Below are 19,001 nucleotides of genomic sequence, written 5' to 3' on the forward strand. Positions count from 1 at the left end.
CCCCTCACATTTAATTAGCCCTCTTTGTCCTAATAAAATCTGAGTGGCACCACACAGTGGCTGACAGAACTTTACCTCCTATTTTTTGAGCCTCCCAAGGGAGACCTAACATTTGTTGTATACCTGCTATATGTACCATGAGGCCCTAAATGTCATCTAATTTGGACCTAACAATGACCTTATAAAAATGATCCCCACTTTACAGATGAAGAATCTGTGGCTCAGAGATGTTATGTAACTTGATCACACAGTCAGTAAATTACAGAGATGGAGTTGGAGACCAAGTGTCTCTGGTTCAAATGCCCAGGGTCTTTCCACTACACCAGAAGTCTTTTCCAAGGATGAAAATCCACAGCCTTTTCTGATATTAGTTCTTTTTGTTTGGAATATCTTTCCGACTCTTATTCATCTGGATAACTTATATACATTCTTCAATATTTAGCTGAGGTGTCTTATTTATGAAGCCTTCCCTGAACTTCTAGGTTGTCCTAAATAATCTTTTTTTCTGAGCTCTACCAGCATCCCCTTCTTATTTCTCTTTATTGTAATTTTTTTTTTTTTTTTTGAGACATGGTCTTGCTATATTGCCCAGGCAAGTCTCGAACTCCTGGGCTCAAGTGATGCTCCCACCTGGGCTCCACCATCCTCCAATGCCACCCCTCCCCTCCCCCAGTAGCTGGGATTACAGGCATGTGTCACCAAACCCAGCTTGATGGTAATTTGTTATTGATATTTTTTCCCAGGTAAGACCATGAACTCCTCAATTGCATGGAGTATCTTAATAATCTTTAATTCCAAGTGCCTAAAACAGAGAGGTCCTCTCACTGAACAATTTTTGAGCATACTGAGAAGAGTTAAAAACACTAAAACAAAACCTTTAAACCACTGCTTCCTGTGAATTCATAAACACTAGGATTAAATAATTGCTTGGATAAGAAAAGCATTTTCCAGGTCTGCTCAAAAATTGTGTTGGTTATAGTCCTTGCTCTGACTTTGTGTCTTGGAACAAAAAGCAGATTCTGGAAGGCTGACGAATAACGGATAACACAAACCTTGACTGCTGTTGAAAATTCCAGATGGGGGAATCTGTGTTTTCAACCACTTGGGTGTATACAGGAGATGACTCATCGGCTGTTGCAAAGGATACACAACAACTGGGTATCGATACTTTCCGCTCTGTCAAGGGGCTCCCTGAAATAGAATAAAGTGCAGTGACTGTACTTTAGGGTACACAAGAAGCCTCAGATTATACAGGCACAAGCAGGACTATTCCTGGCCCTCTTCTTCCTATGGGGTCTTTGCTCAAGCTATCCCCCTGTGTCTGAAATGTTTTCAGGCTGGGTGTAGTGGCTCAAGCCTGTAATCCCAGCACGTTGGGAGACCAAGGTAGGAGGACAACTTGAGCGCAGAAATTCAAGACCAGCCTGGGCAATACAGTGAGATCCCATGTATAAAAAAAAAATTAGCCAAGCATGGTGGCACATGCCTGTAGTCCCAGCTACTCAGGAGGTGGGAGGATCTCTTGAGTCTGGGAGGCAGAGGCTGCAGTGAGCTGAGATTGCACCACTACACTCCAGACTGGGGTACAGAGTGAGACCGTGTCAATCAATCAATCAATCAATTGATGACATGTTTTCAGTGACCTTTCTGCTATTACCCTGTCTTTTTAAGGCTCAGTTCATAAATATTCTCCAAAAAGAAGTGACTTCTCTCATGTTCTGTACTTTGTGGGAAGATGGAAAATACTGTGTTGAGAGGCAAAAGACAGGACAGAACTACAAAGAGTCCTGAACCTAAGAGTCAGATGACCAAATATTGGCTCTGCCACATACATGCAATGTGATTTTGGGCAAGAAGTATCTAGGCCACAGCTTCTTCAACTGTAAAATTGGGCATATTATACTTACACTTCCAAAGATATTGTAAGGATTAAGATAAATACTAAGAGTAAGTAACACTTACATATCACTTACTGTGATATGTAAGGCACTGTTCTATGTACTTTATATATATTAACTCATTTAATCCTTACAACAACCCTATAAGATAGCTATTTCTATCCTATTGATTATTTCTATCATGTAGATTTCTATCATTATTTCTATCATTGTTATTTCTATCATTATTATTTCTATCATATAGATTTCTAAAAACTGGGTACTGAGAAATTAAATTAGTTGGTCACATATTTATTAAATGGTAGAACTGAGAGTCCAATTCAAGCATTCTGGCTCCAGAGTCCATGTTCTAAACTGTCTCCTATATTGCCTCTACTATGGGGTTAACAAATGTAAAATACTGGGTGCTGGTGAGAATACCTAATGTTAATTTTTACAAGATCAGGTTTCCAATGTGGGAGACTTGGTCAAGTTATTCTGTCTTAAGACAGTGTAAAATGAAGATGGCTGATGATACTAGATAGTCTAACTGAGCTGTCCAGGAAGATAACCCACTAGCCACATGTGGCCATTCACCTTTAAATTAATTAAAACTAAAGATAAAAAATTTACTTCCTTGGTTGCACTAGCCATATTTCAAGTGCTCGATAGCCACATGGGGCTAGTGGCTACCATACTGGACACTGAACCCACAGAACATTTCCATCATAACAGAAAGTTCTTTTGGATAGCACTGAATAATAGACACTTTACAAAATATAGACTATATATTTCACGAGATCACTTTCAGCTCTAAAATGCTATGAATGTCAGGATTACAGATGAAGGAAAAGAGATGAGCAGAGCAGAAAAGAATAGAAGAAGTATGTCCTAAACATAATCGACATGCTCCAGGGAACAGATTCTGTATGTGTATTCTAACTGGTTTGTATTCTTTATAACTGTCTAGCTCAAGAATTCTCTCCTGCCTAACATGGTGAAACCCCGTCTCTACTAAACAATACAAAAAATTAGCCAGGCGTGGTGGTGGCTGCCTGTAGTCCCAGCTACTTGGGAGGCTGAGGCAGGAGAATGGCGTGAACCTGGGAGGCGGAGCTTGCAGTGAGCCGAGATTGCACCACTGCACTCCAGCCTGGGTGACAGAGCGAGACTCTGTCTCAAAAAAAAAAAAAAAAAAAAAAAAAGAAAGATTTCTCCAAATCCATACTCCCACTTCTCCTGATAGGTGAAGTTCATCTTTGAGGCTCCACCCTTTTCTCTATCTCGCTGCTCCTTTCAGTAAGTACTCCTCCAGGGGCCTCAGTCTGTCCCTCTGGACAGAAAGCATTCTGATGAACAAATTCACACTCAGGAACCACAGATTTTATTCCTGTCCACATGCAGTTTAACATTTAACAAGTAGTCTTGAAAGAGGTTCCAAGATGGCCGAATAGGAACAGCTCCAGTCTGCAGCTCCCAGCGTGAGCAACGCAGAAGACGGTTGATTTCTGTATTTCCAACTGAGGTACCGGGTTCATCTCACCGGGGCTTATCAGACAGTGGGTGCAGCCCATGGAACAGGGCAGGGCATTGCCTCACCCAGGAAGCACAAGGGGTTGGGGAATTCCCTTTCCTGGCAAAGGGAAGCCATGATGGATGGTACCTGGAAAATCAGGATACTCCCACCCTAATACTGCACTTTTCCAACGGCCTTAGCAAACGGCACACCAGGAGACTGTATCCCGCGCCTGGCTTGGAGGGTCCCACGCCCATGTAGCCTCGCTCACTGCTAACACAGCAGTCTGAGATCGAACTGCAAGGTGGCAGTGAGGCTGGGGGAAGGATGTCCACCATTGCTGAGGCTTGAGTAGGTAAACAAAGCATCTGGGAAGCTCGAACTGGGTGGAGCCCATCGCAGCTCAAGGAGGCTTGCCTGCCTCTGTAGACTCCACCTCTGGGGGCAGGGCATAGCTGAATAAAAGGCAACAGAAACTTCTGCAGACTTAAACGTCCCTGTCTGACAGCTTTGAAGAGAGTAGTGGTTCTCCCAGCACGGAGTTTGAGATCTGAGAACGGACAGACTGCCTCCTCAAGTGGGTCCCTGACCCCTGAGTAGCCTAACTGGGAGACACCTCCCAGTAGGGGCTGACTGACACCCATACAGCTGGGTTCCCCTTTGAGACGAAGCTTCTGGAGGAAGGATCAGGCAGCAACATCTGCTGTTCTGCAATATTTGCTGTTCTGCAGCCTCCGCTGGTGATACCCAGGCAAACAGGGTCTGGAGTGGACCTCCAGCAAATTTCTAACAGACCTGCAGCTGAGGGTCCTGAAAGTTAGAAGGAAAACTAACAAACAGAAAGGACATCCACACCAAAACCCCATGTGGACGTCACCATCATCAAAGACCAAAGGTAGATAAAACCACAAAGATGGGGAGAAACCAGAGCAGAAAAGCTGAAAATTCTAAAAATCAGAGCGCCTCTCCTCCTCCAAAGGAACACAGCTCTTCGCCAGCAACGGAACAAAGTTGGACGGAGAATGACTTTGACGAGTTGAGAGAAGAAGGCTTCAGACCATCAGTAATAACAAACTTTTCCAAGCTAAAGGAGGATGTTCGAACCCATTGCAAAGAAGCTAAAAACCTTGAAAAAAGATTAGACGACTGACTAACTAGAATAAACAGTGTGGAGAAGTCCTTGAATGACCTGATGGAGCTGAAAACCATGGCACGAGAACTATGTGATGTGTGCACAACCTTCAGTAGCCCATTTGATCAAGTGGAAGAAAGGGTATCAGTGATTGAAGATCAAATGAATGAAATGAAGCGAGTAGAGAAGTTTAGAGAAAAAAGAGTAAAAAGAAATGAACAAAGCCTCCAAGAAATATGGGACTATGTGAAAAGACCAAGTCTACATCTGACTGCTGTACCTGAAAGTGACAGGGAGAATGGAACCAAGTTGGAAAACACTCTTCAGAATATTATCCAGGAGAACTTCCCCAACCTAGTGAGGCAGGCCAACATTCAAATTCAGGAAATACAGAGAATGCCACAAAGATACTCCTCGAGAAGAGCAACTCCAAGACACATAATTGTCAGATTCACCAAAGTTGAAATGAAGGAAAAAATGTTAAGGGCAGCCAGAGAGAAAGGTTGGGTTACCCACAAAGGGAAGCCCATCAGACTAACAGCAGATCTCTCAGCTGAAACTCTACAAGCCAGAAGAGAGTGGGGGCCAATATTCAACATTCTCAAAGAAAAGAATTTTCAACCCAGAATTTCATATCCAGTCAAACTGAGCTTCATAAGTGAAAGTGAAATGAAGTCCTGTAAAGACAAATGCTGAGAGATTTTTCTCACCACCAGGCCTGCCTTACAAGAGCTCCCAAAGGAAGTACTAAACATGGAAAGGAACAACCAGTACTGGCCGCTCCACAAACATGCCAAATTGTAAAGGCCATCAATGCTAGGAAGAAACTGCATCGACTAACGAGCAAAATAATCAGCTAACATCATAATGACAGGATCAAATTCACACATTAACAATATTAACTTTAAATGTAAATGGGCTAAATGCTCCAATTAAAAGACACAGACTGGCAAATTGGATAGAGTCAAGACCCTTCAGTGTGCTGTATTCAGGAGACCCATCTCACGTGCAGAGACACATACAGGCTCAAAATAAAGGGATGGAGGAAGATCTACCAAGCAAATGGAAAACAAAAAAAAAGCAGGGGTTGCAATCCTAGTCTCTGATAAAACAGACTTTAAACCAACAAAGATCAAAAGAGACAAAGAAGGCCATTACATAATGGTAAAGGGATCAATTCAACAAGAAGAGCTAACTATCCTAAATATATATGCACCCAATACAGGAGCACTCAGATTCATAAAGCAAGTCCTTAGAGATCTACAAAGAGACTTAGACTCCCACACAATAATAATAGGAGAGTTTAACACCCCACTGTCAACATTAGACAGATCAACGAGACAGAAAGTCACCAAGGATATCCAGGAATTGAACTCAGCTCTGCACCAAGCGGACCTAATAGACAGCTACAGAACTCTCCACCCCAAATCAACAGAATATACATTCTTCTCAGCACCACATCACACTTATTCTAAAATTGACCACATAGTTGGAAGTAAAGCACTCCTCGGCAAATGTAAAGCAACAGAAATTATAACAAACTGTCTCTCAGACCACAGTGCAATCAAACTAGAACTCAGGATTAAGAAATTCACTCAAAACTGCTCAACTACATGGAAACTGAACAACCTGCTCCTGAATGACTACTGGGTACATAACGAAATGAAGGCAGAAATAAAGATGTTCTTTGAAACCAATGAGAACAAAGACACAACATACCAGAATCTCTGGGACACATTTAAAGCAGTGTGTAGAGGGAAATTTATAGCACTAAATGCCCACAAGAGAAAGCAGGAAAGATCTAAAATTGACACCCTAACATCACAATTAAAAGAACTGGAGAAGCAAGAGCAAACACATTCAAAAGCTAGCAGAAGGGAAGAAATAACTAAGATCAGAGCAGAATTGAAGGAGATAGAGACACAAAAAACCCTTCAAAAAAAAAAACCAATGAATCCAGGAGCTGGTTTTTTGAAAAGGTCAACAAAATTGACAGACCACTAGCAAGACTAATAAAGAAGAAAAGAGAGAAGAATCAAATAGACACAATAAAAAATGATAAAGGGGATATCACTACTCATCCCACAGAAATACAAACTATCATCAGAGAATACTACAAGCATCTCTATGCAAATAAACTAGAAAATCTAGAAGAAATGGATAAATTCCTGGACACACACACCCTCCCAAGACTAAACCAGGAAGAAGTTGAATCCTTGAATAGACCAATAACAGGTTCTGAAATTGAGGCAATAATTAATAGCCTACCAACCAAAAACATCCAGGACCAGATGGATTCACAGCCGCATCTACCAGAGGTACAAAGAGGAGCTGGTACTATTCCTTCTGAAACTATTCCAATCAATAGAAAAAGAGGGAATCTTCCCTAATTCATTTTATGAGGCCAACATCATACTGATACCAAAGCCTGGCAGAAACACAACAGAAAAAGAGAATTTTAGACCAATATCCCTGATGAACATCAATGCAAAAATCCTCAATAAAATACTGGCAAACCGAATCCAGCAGCACATCAAAAAGCTTATCCACCATGATCAAGTTGGCTCCATCCCTGGGATGCAAGGCTGCTTCAACATATGCAAATCAATAAACGTAATCCATCATATAAACAGAACCAAAGACAAAAACCACATGATTATCTCAATAGATGCAGAAAAGGCCTTTGACAAAATTCAACAGCCCTTCATGTTAAAAACTCTCAATAAACTAGGTATTGATGGGGTGTATCTCAAAATAAGAGCTATTTATGACAAACCCACAGCCAATATCATCTGAATGGGCAAAAACTGAAAGCATTCCCCTTGAAAACTGGCACAAGACAGGGATGCCCTCTCTCACCACTCCTATTCAACATAGTGTTGTAAGTTCAGGCCAGGGCAATCAGGCAAGAGAAAGAAATATTCAATTATGAAAAGAGGAAGTCAAATTGTCCCTGTTTGCAGATGACATGATTGTATATTTAGAAAACCCCATCGTCTCAGCCCAAAATCTCTCTTTTTTAAATTTTATTATTATTATACTTTAAGTTTTAGGGTACATGTGCACAATGTGCAGGTTTGTTACATATGTATACATGTGCCATTTTGGTGTGCTGCACCCATTAACTCATCATTTAGCATTAGGTATATCTCCTAATGCTATCCCTCCCCCGTCCCACCCCACAACAGTCCCCGGAGTGTGATGTTCCCCTTCCTGTGTCCATGTGTTCTCATTGTTCAATTCCCACCTATAAGTGAGAACATGCGGTGTTTGGTTTTTTGTCCTTGCGATAGTTTGCTGAGAATGATGGTTTCCAGTTTCATCCATGTCCCTATAAGCAACTTCAGCAAAGTCTCAGAATACAAAATCAATGTGCAAAAATCACAAGCATTCCTACACACCAAAAACAGAGAGCCAAGTCATGAGTGAATTCCCATTCACAATTGCTTCAAAGAGAATAAAATACCTAGGAATCCAACTTACAAGGGATGTGAAGGACCTCTTCAAGGAGAACTACAAACCATTGCTCAATGAAATAAAAGAGGACACAATCAAATGGAAGAATATTCCATGCTCATAGATAGGAAGAATCAATATCGTGAAAATGGCCATACTGCCCAAGGTAATTTATAGATTCAATGCCATCCACATCAAGCTACCAATGACTTTCTTCACAGAATTGGAAAAAACTACTTTAAAGTTCATATGCAATCAAAAAAGAGCCCGCATTGCCAAGACAATCCTACGCCAAAAGAACAAAGCTGGAGGCATCACACTACCTGACTTCAAATTATACTACAAGGCTGCAGTAACCAAAACAGCATGGTACTGGTACCAAAACAGAGATATAGACCAATGGAACAGAATAGAGCCCTCGGAAATAATACCACACATCTACAACCATCTGATCTTTGACAAACCTGACAAAAACAAATGGGAAAAGAATTCCCTATTTAATAAATGGTGCTGGGAAAACTGGCTAGCCATATGTAGAAAGCTGAAACTGAATCCCTTTCTTACACCTTATACAAAAATTAATTCAAGATGGATTAAAGACTTAAATGTTAGACCTAAAACCATAAAAACCCTAGAAGAAAACCTCGACAATACCATTCAGGCCATAGGCAAGGACTTCATGTCTAAAACACCAAAAGCAATGGCAACAAAAGCCAAAATTGACAAATGGGATCTAATTAAACTAAAGAGCTTTTGTACAGCAGAAGAAACTACCATCAGAGTGAACAGGCAACCTACAGAATGGGAGAAAATTTTTACAATCTACCCATCTGACAAAGGGCTAATATCCAGAATCTACAAAGAACTTAAACAAAGTTACAAGAAAAAATCAAACAACCCCATCAAAAAGTGGGCAAAGGATATGAACAGACACTTCTCAAAAGAAGACATTTATGCAGCCAACAGACACATGAAAAAAACTCATCATCACTGGCCGTCAGAGAAATGCAAATCAAAACCACAGTGAGATACCATCTCACACCAGTTAGAATGGCGATCATTAAAAAGTCAGGAAACAACAGGTGCTGGGGAGGGTGTGGAGAAACTGGAACACTTTTACACTGTTGGTGGGACTATAAACTAGTTCAACTATTGTGGAAGACAGTGTGGCGATTCCTCAAGGATCTAGAACTAGAAATACCATTTGACCCAGCCATCCTATTACTGGGTATATACCCAAAGAATTATAAATCATGCTGCTATAAAGACACATGCACACGTATGTTTATTGTGGCACTATTCACAATAGCAAAGACTTGGAACCAACCCACATGTCCATCAATGATAGACTGGATTAAGAAAATGTGGCACATACACACCATGGAATACTATGCAGCCATAAAAAAGGATGAGTTCATGTCCTTTGTAAGGACATGGATGAAGCTGGAAACCATCATTCTCAGCAAACTATCCCAAGAACAAAAAAACCAAACACCGCATGTTTTCACTCATAGGTGGGAATTGAACAATGAGAACACTTGGACACAGGAAGGGGAACATCACACACCAGGGCCTGTCGTGGGGTGGGGGGAGGGGGGAGGGATAGCATTAGGAGATATACCCAAAGTAAATGATAAGTTAACGGGTGCAGCACACCAACATGGCACATGTATACATATGTAACAAACCTGCACGTTGTGCACATGTACCCTAGAACTTAAAGTATAATAAAAAATAAAATAGAAAATGTGGCACAGATACACCATGGAATACTATGAAGCCATAAGAAAGGATGAGTTCGTGTCCTTTGTAGGTACATGGATGAAGCTAGAAACCATCATTCTGAGCAAACTATCTCAAGGACAGAAAACCAAACACCACATGTTCTCACTCATAGGTGGGACTTGAACAATGAGAACACTTGGACACAGGAGGGGGGAGGGATAGTGTTAGGAGATATACCTAATGTAAATGACGAGTTAATGGGTGCAGCACACCAACATGGCACATGTATACATATGTAACAAATCTGCACACATATGTAACAAACCTGCACGTTGTGCACATGTACCCTAGAACTTAAAGTATAAAAAAAAAGTCAAAAAGAAAGAAAGAAAGAAAAAAAAACATTTAACAAGTAGTCTTTAAAAGACAGGTTCTAGTTCCATCTACTCTGACAAGCCTCTCTAGGTGCAATCACTGAACTTTATAACCCCAGTTAGAGCTTCCAACTTAAAATTTCTTTCAGGGAAAGAAAAGTAGCTACAGCTTTGCTTTGATATGTTTTCCTCAACGTAAAGAATTTCCATTAGACCAATTCTTTTTTTTTTTGAACAGAAAGAAAACTGTTTTATTACACAATTAAACTTGAATGTGACATGCATCATAGTCAATCTGCTTAAGAGACTGCAGAGACAGAAAGATGGTCACCAAAATTAGTCCACAAGTAGAAGAATTTACAGCACCATGTCATAGACCAAATTCTTTTCAAACTTTCCCACCAAAGTAACAATGATTCAGAGAAGAGTAAACATTAAACTCAGAGAAGAGTAAACATTAAACTCTGAAGTGTAGGGGTCCCTGTTGCCTTAAAACAACTACAATAAGCATAACATCTACTAGTAGGCTTGTCTTTCATTTTAGAAATTCATGAAGGTTTTATATTATATTCCATAATACAACCATATTTGTATCTGAAATGTATAAATGAAAAACAGCATTTCTGTTCCCAAATATTGGTTAAAAAATTGACATGCTATTATTTAATCTTGTGACTTCTAGCACCCAGGGCACAAAACCAGACCAGATGACATTACTTTTTCAGTCATTTGTACTGGAAATAATAAAGAAAGAAACTGGGTGATGGGAAGAGAAAAGAGAATGGAGATTTTGTGAGGAAGCTTGGGAAGGAGAACTGAAGAGAAATGCTAGCCTTGGAAGGAAGATCTAGTGGCGTCCACAAAGCAGGAGAGAACTGAGGCATGTACAAGTTGCCAACAAAGCAGGACCTGGAAAAAGGCTGAACCTGGAAAAAGGCAGAGGAGCCTTAGAACCGGGAAAGCATTAAAGATATAGAGAACTATATGAGGAGCAAAACAACAAAACAAAATAATCACTGGCTACAACTTGGCCAAACCAGTTTACAAGCATATTAAAGAAAAAAATTTTTTAAGGCTAGTCAAGGGAAGCAGTAGGAGTTACAGCATATTTTTGAAAGAACAGGGAAAGGTAATTCTAATTTAATGGTAGTAGGCAAAAAATCAGTTAATGGAAATCAATAAAATAGTATTCATATTACTAATGTAAATGTATAAAATATCACTAATAGTACCCAGTGAGCTATCTTCTTAAAAGTTTTATTTTAGTGAAACTGAACAGTATTTATGCGGATTGACTTGCTGAGCATCCACCCCCACCTACTTTTATTGCATTGTACTCCTTTATTGTACAGATTGGAAGCATTAAAAGCTACATTTCTCGGACTCTTTTGCAGCTAGGGTATGGATGCAAATTGGCCTCTACCAATCAGATGCCCTCACAAAAGATCTGGAAGGCAGGCGGGAAGCAGAGGACATCTTTCTTTTCCTTCTGCTTTTGCTAATAACAAGGATGATGATGTAGAGACATTGTGTTTTTTGATCTAGCATTTGGTCCCTGGGTGCAGAGAGGCCCTGTGGCAATGGCTATGACGAGAGCTTCTGATTCTTAGATTTCAGTTTTGGCACTGTATTCTGAACTTAAAAGATTTAGTGGTTCCCTCCTAGAAGTTTAGCCTAGAGCTCACTCCTCTAGCCCTTCTAATGACTTAAAGTACCTTAATATTCTATATTAAACTCCTCTCTGCTTAAAATGGCTGGAGTGGGTTCCATTTCCTCTGCCTGATATAGCTTTCATCTCTCATTCTTTCTCCCATTTTCCTTTTTCGGTCTTAAGCTTCAACTAATTTCTTCCAATAAAATGTCATAAATCCTCACAATTAGGAAGAGATAACCTGGCTCTACCACAGCAGCTCTCACATATTGTATAATAATCTGTGTTTCCCTCACTAGACTGAGAGCTCTTTGAATGCACAGAGTATTCCCAAGGCCCTTATTAAATGTTTGCTGACTTCCCACTGCCCTTTGTCTACAGATAGTTGCCCAGGGTTAGAGAGAGGAGTTGCCTTGTCTGCTTGCAGTACATACCCACAGAAGATAGCAACATCTTCTCAAGAAAGCTCTGAGGAAGATCAGCAGAGAGGACCAATCACTGTTCCCAGAGGCAGGACACCTAGGTTCCAATGTAGTCTGCCATTGCTTTAGTGTGACATATTGGATACACCACTTCATTCTGGCTAACTGGGCCTCGGTTTTCTCATCAGAAATAAGTGCTCTCAAACCACCTTCCACAGTAAAATTCTAATTCTAGATATATATCAACCTTGCTCACATCTCTCATGGCACTACCCCCATCCCTCTGGTTTATTTATTTATTTATTTATTTTTTGAGACGGAGTCTCACTCACTCTGTCGCCCAGGCTGGAGTGCAGAGGCACGATCTCGGCTCACTGCAACCTCCACCTCCTGGGTTCAAGTGATTCTCCTGCCTCAGCCTCCTGAGTAGCTGGAATTGCAGGCTTGCGCTCAGCTAATTTTTGTATTTTTAGTAGAGAAAGGGTTTCACCATGTTGGCCAGGCTGGTTTTGAACTCCTGACCTCAAGTGATCTGTCTGCCTCAGCCTCCCAAAGTGCTGGGATTACAGGCATAAGCCACTGCGTCCGGCCATCCTCCAGTTTATTTTTAAAGCTGCTATTTGCTAAAGGCCTTGAAACAAAACTATTTTGACTTTGGAAGAAGATAGTTCCTTATTTAGTCTTGAACAGACACATTCCTTTTAGCCAAACAGGTGGGTGAAAAAGAAATCAGCTTGGGAGAGCAGGTCTATCAGGTTTCTCTGGCTCTCCTCTTGTAGGTGGAAATTCATCTGGGCCTGTTTACATTCTGAAAAAGGTCAAGTTCTGAAATACTTTTGGAAGCAGCCCAAAAGAAGGCTGCTATACCCCCCACAGGGTTGGGACACACATTAAGAAGACCTGAGGTGAACCAGTTATGCCATTTAAGAATTTTATGCATCAAGAAAGGTGTAATTGTTTCAGTGAGATTAAAATAACAACTTCTCATATTTAGATAATGCGTTACAGCTTGCACACTGTTTTCTTACACACTAAAGTTGTGCTGATAACGTCTCTGAAAATCGCATAAGATAGGCATCTCTATCCCTATTATAAAAATAAGGCAACCAAGGAACAGAGAAGTGGCTTGCTCATCACATACCTGGTTAACTAGCATTGAGAAGAACCACGGTTTCCTGACTCGTACTTTAGATTTTTTTCCATTGCAATCATTCTAATTATCTCCATCTGGTTAAGAGAAGTGCTCTCCCTTTGGCCTGGAGTGAATGGATGGAAACTTCCCCCTTAAGCAATGTCCAATTTTTTATGTTAATAAAAACTTAGCCCAGCAGGTGTATTAAGCTAACATTAGCTGACACCTCCTCTGTGTCACACCTGTACAAGGTGAGTCAGATTTGATTCTTGATCTGCGGGAGACAAACACAGACAGATAATTACAACCCAATAAGATAAAGACTATGCTAAAAGCACATGGGAACCCAGAGGTGTCCTGAACTCTGCCTTGATGGGCTAAAGAATGCCTCTAAAAGTTGATAATATTGAAGCTGATTTTACTTTTTACTGAGTATAACTTATGCTACTTCAAATCATTTTACCTCTCTGTTCCTTATTTGTCTCATTTGTAAAACAGGGCTAGAAATACCTGTTTTGTCTAATATAAGTATACAAACCTTAAGAGTATTGAAGCTGATCTTAACCGAAGGTTCCTCAGAGCTTTTTCTAACATAAGTATCCAAGAAGTTCTTTTATTTTCAGAACCAGGACTACAGTGGTGACCACAGACCATTTCAGAGCTGCTTCAGAACTCAGCTTTGCTGAAGGCAAAGCTCCTAATTTGGGGCTGTTTGTGAATCCTCTGCATAAAGGTTTGCATGAAGGAACCACTCATTTCCTTCCTTAAGAAAGAGCTTCCAAGGCATAAAAAGGACAGACACTCTGAGAACACTATTAAGGCAAGAGGAAAGTCAGAAGTACAGAGTGTAGAATCATGGTCTCCTACCAGAAAGTTTCTGTCGCCTGTTCTCCATTCTTGCTGCCACCTTGCTTGTTTAGGCTTCAGAACTTGAACTAATGTGACGGCCCTCTCAGTGATTGCTGCTTTCGGTATTCTCCAGTATCTTTTTCATACTGCCACCAAGATTTCATGTCTGGTCAACAAATATGACCTTGCCTCTCCACAGATTAAGATTTTGTTGGTTTCATCTCACCTGCAGTGTCAGTCATGTAGCATACAAAATGCTGCCTATGTAGCCTAATTAGTCTTTCCAGCCCCATTTCTCACTACTTTTTACTCACATTTAATGACCTTTTTTTGGCCAATGTCCCATTCTCTCATACTACCAAGCTTTTGAGCATGCTGTTTCTTCTCATTAGAATGCCTTTTTCCTCTTTCATTCAGCAAACTTGCTCCTCCTCCTTCAAGAGTAGGCTAAAGTGACACCAATACTTGGAAGCCTGCCCTGACCACCCCATTAGCAAAAAAATGCCCTCTGTGTTCTCAAAGTTTTCCTATACTACCACATCCACCTCCCCACAGCTTTCCTCTTTCATATCGTTTATTCCTCTGTACTAAAAATGTTAACATGTCTCTCCATTAGGCTGTTCCTTGGGGACAGGGACTGTGTGTTGTTTGTTTATCCCAGCACTGTGATCTTCATGATGCAGCAAAGCAAACATAATGTCCTCCTGTTTTATGAATATGAGACATAACGCCTCTCACATTTCTGGCAAGAGTTGCAGACCTGTAAATCACTTGTTATTTAGCCTCTTTCTGTTTAGCCAGGTCAAGGCAAGCATAGGGTAGACATCTGACTTTCCAGACGTCACTGTTGTATCCTGATTTCCACCCTGCAGTGATAAGCCCATGCAGTCCTTCCTCCCACAGACATTTATGTGTCAGTCAGGCACTGTGCTGAGCATAGAGTGTAGACCTATAGTATAGAGATCTGCCCATTGTCTCTTTGAGTATAGACCTGCCCATCTGGTTCTGCAGAGCGCATTAACTATGTAACTTCAGGTCATTTTACCTTTTTGAACTTCGGTCTCCTCATTTGTGAAATGATTATGTATTGTAATCTCTTCAAACTATAATCCTGCTCGTGGCAAGGATTAAAGGGGATACAGGGAATAACCCTGATCTGAAATGCTTGGGGCAAGAGGTATTTCAGATTTTGTAATATCTGCATTATACTTATTCAGTATGCCAAATCTGAAAATCTGAAACCTGATATATTCCTATGAGCATTTCCTTTGAGCACCAAGTTGGTGCTTTTGGATTTGGGATACCTAACCCATAATTAATGTACAAAGACTAGAATAGAACTCAGCACACAGCAGATGATGCTCAATAAATTATTATAAAATTTTGCCAAGTGATATTATAAAACTGTAATTCACTGTCTCATTGAAAATTTGTAAGTATATTTTGCTTTTTTTTAACAATATGGGAATTCTCCTAAAATGTAACATATACCATATCTTTTGTATATTAAATTTTATTTTCAATGCAACTACAAAAAAAAACTTTCCAAAAATAAAAGAAGCTTTTTAATACTTTCCTTAAACTCATTCATCTATTGATTTTTTTGGTCTTTAAAAAAAATTTGTCAAAAATGGCTGCTTTGGTGGGGCAGAAAATTTTTTTTTCTTTAAAAACAAGTAAAAATTGTTCAATTTTGTGATTCACACTGCACTTGAAGAAGACTTTGTCCTGATATAGAATGTTTCAAGGTTTCTGATACACAATGGCTGAAATGGATGAGAACATCAAGGATCATTATGGAAGCTTATAATCCCAGGAGTAATGGCTGTTGGTAGTATAAACGGGGAGGAGTAGGAATGAGAGATAAATAATAGTTACTATGAGCACAGGTTTTGTTTCTGTTCTAAAGTAGTAAGGACACATGACACAGTTTGAGAGACACCAAAACAGAGATGACAGGAGCCAAACAGAGAGGTCAAATCTGAATCAAATGATGTATATTGAAACTTTCTGGATTCATAAGGCCATGGTTGACTGGCTCTCATAGACACCACACATCTGAACATTGTTAATCACAGCCATTTACAGATGAGAAATTCAAGACAGAGAGAAAGAATACCTTGCTCAAAGTCACACATATGTACACATACAATTTATTGGCTAGGGACACAGGGATAAATATATTCCTACTAGAATGTAATCTCCACAGGGCACAATTTTTGTCTGTCCTTTTTTTTTACTGTTTTATCCCTGGCACCAAGGACAGGGCTTAGCATGTAGCAAATACAGTAAGTTTTGTTGTAAAATAAATGAATGCATGATGAATGAACAAATGAGATGAGGTCTTTGCTTTTGAACAGTTCATATCTAGTTGAAAAGAAAACCATGGAAACAACTGCAGTACTGTGTGACATATGATATGATACAGGGGCAAAGTGCCAGGGGAGCAAATAGAAGGGGGCCTTTATATTGGGAAAGCCCTCCAGGAAATGGTGATGCCTGAGCTGGGTCTGAAGAGAGGAGCTGGAAGTAGCCAGGCAAAAGAGAAGGGTGACGGCAAAGGGGAAATTTTAGGAGATTACAATGCTGAATAAAGGTAGGGCAGGAATTCTTTGTGCCATGGACTCTGGCAATCTGGCAAGGTCTATGGGCCTCTTCTTTTAACAGTGTTTCTTTAAAATGCATAATGTAAAACACATAGGATTACAGAGAAATCCAATTATATTTACATAGAGTTATCAAAACTAAAAGAACTTTGTGATATAGTAATATATGTGCTTTAGTAACAAGGTCTAACTATAGGTAATAACTACTGTAGGTCTGGCACAGTGGCTCACGTCTGTACTCCCAGCACTTTGAGAGGCTGAGGTGGGTGGATCACTTGCGGTCAGGAGTTCGAGATCAGCCTGTCCAACATGGTGAAAACACATCTCTACTAAAAATACAAAAATTAGCCAGGAGTGGTGGCACAAGCCTGTAATCCCAGCTACTCAGGAGGCTGAGGCAGGAGAATTGCTTGAAGCTGGGAGGTGGAGGTTGCAGTGAGCCGAAATCGTGCCACTGCACTGCAGCCTGGGCGACAGAGCAAGACTTTGTTTCAAAAAAAAAAAAAAAAAAATCAAAACAAACAAAAAAACCCCCCTAACTATTGTAATTTCAAAGAAATCATAGTTATAAGTGATATTCTAAGATATCTGCAATAATGATGTGATATGGAAATACCTGTGATTTCTATTGTTGACAATATCACAGGTACTATTACTAGGATCTACTGCCTATATTCATAATGAGAGGAAATATGTTAAATTTTAGCTAGAGGTTGCTAAAAATAAAGATGTAATTATTTTCCTATCCAAGGCCACTAACCCGGAGTTTGAACTTTTCACGGATCCCTTGGATGTTTAAGGACCCAATGTTAAAAACACCTGGCCCTAGGTGCATTAGGAAGGCCTGAGTTGGCAGGAATGCAGAAGGAAGAAATCTGAGAAATTTAATAAAGAACAAGTTAGGGATCCGATGATTTGACAGTGGATAAGGAAAAGAGAAGTATCTATCTAGGTTGAGACTCAGGTGGCTGGACTGGGGAATTTACGATATGCAACAAGTTCAGAAAAGCTTTCATGTTGCTTAAACCTTTAGGCTTGAGAAATAAATATTTATCAGTTGAGATAATTAACAGATCCTGCCATGATTTGAAAGATTTGTGAAGAAAGGAGCACACCCTGAAGAGTTAGACATGCTCCTGGGTAGGTGAGGAGAGCATACCTTTCAAGCTCAAGTGCATTGCTCTTTCTACTAGGATGCTGACTGCAAACGTTCCATCCAAATCAGCAGGGCCCTCCTGCGTCAGGCGGACTTCAGCTGTGGTGCTGCTGCAGGGGACCTGGGTGGAGGCAGGAGACTTCTGGTGGCAGGAGATGACTTCTGGTGGAGAGAGCTGGACCTCATCATTCCTTCTGGGGAGCTGCTCAGACTCACTGTGGCTGCTGCAGTCCATGGAGTCCAGCTCATGAGTGGGCTCAAGGTGTGAGGAAAGAGAGGAAAGAACCACATGAACTCGCAAGGCAGCTCCTGAGAGGTTGGAAGCATTTCGTCCAAACAGAGGATACACACCTAAAAGAAGATGGAGAAGAATAAGGCTAGTCAAGCAGGAACCAAGACCAAGCTTGGAGGAAATACTCACTGAGGGTGCTGTGGTCCTTTCTCCTTTGAAAGGTCTACAAACCCCAATACAGCAATTTGCAAAAGAAACTATGAAGCTGGTAGAAAACATGAAAACTTTTACCCTGCCCTAACTATCTTCAATAATGAAAAGTAGGCTGAGTGTGGTGGCTCACACCTGTAATCCCAGCACGTTGGGAGACTGAAGTGGGCAAATTGCTTGAGTCCAGGAGTTCAAGAGTTTGGGCAACATGGTAAAACCCTATCTCTACAAAAAACACAAAAATTAGCTGAGCATGGTGGTGTGTGTCTGCAGTCCCAGCTACTCAGGAGGCTAAGGTGGGAGGATCACCTGAGCCCAGGAGGTTGAGGATGCAGTGAGCCATGACTGCGCCACTGCACTCCAGCCTGGGTGACAGAGCAAGACTCTGTCTCAAAAAACAAAACAAAATAAAACAAACAAACAAAAGTAATGAAAATAGTAAGATCTCTGATTTAAAGCCAAAGCCAAATGACTACCAGGCAGAGCTGTTGTGGAAGGGATTCATGCGCTGAGAGGCAACAAGACTTAGAGAAGTCTAAGATTTGATGAAATCAAGAGTGGTCTATTTTCTCTTCCTCGTGTCTCATGGGCTCCTGTTTTTCGACCTTCTCCCTATCAGGAGGCTGTCTTGACACTCAATTTAGCTATGTTTCACTAGGGTTC

At 40.6% G+C, this 19,001-nt stretch overlaps 1 protein-coding gene across 2 annotated transcripts in view, besides 1 other annotated feature; it reads right to left on the reverse strand.

The window, feature by feature from the left end:
* Positions 1-19,001, reverse strand: part of C2CD3 (C2 domain containing 3 centriole elongation regulator) — a 158,285-nt gene that overhangs the window by 43,636 nt on the left and 95,648 nt on the right. For both annotated transcript variants that reach the window (NM_001286577.2, NM_015531.6), the window contains exons 24-25: positions 17,900-18,247; positions 1,053-1,191 (exon numbers count right to left, since the gene is read on the reverse strand). In NM_001286577.2, the coding sequence (NP_001273506.1) occupies positions 1,053-1,191; positions 17,900-18,247 (487 nt within the window). The remainder of the gene's footprint in view (positions 1-1,052; positions 1,192-17,899; positions 18,248-19,001) is intronic.
* Positions 16,218-16,287: an enhancer, noted in NCBI's record as "active region_5250". NCBI's record gives its function as "activates an Ori minimal core promoter by ATAC-STARR-seq in GM12878 lymphoblastoid cells {active_cell/tissue: GM12878}" and the evidence as "EXISTENCE:reporter gene assay evidence [ECO:0000049][PMID:35858748]".

The sequence above is a fragment of the Homo sapiens genome, chromosome 11, assembly GCF_000001405.40.
Source record: "Homo sapiens chromosome 11, GRCh38.p14 Primary Assembly".
NCBI classification, from domain to species: domain Eukaryota; kingdom Metazoa; phylum Chordata; class Mammalia; order Primates; family Hominidae; genus Homo; species Homo sapiens.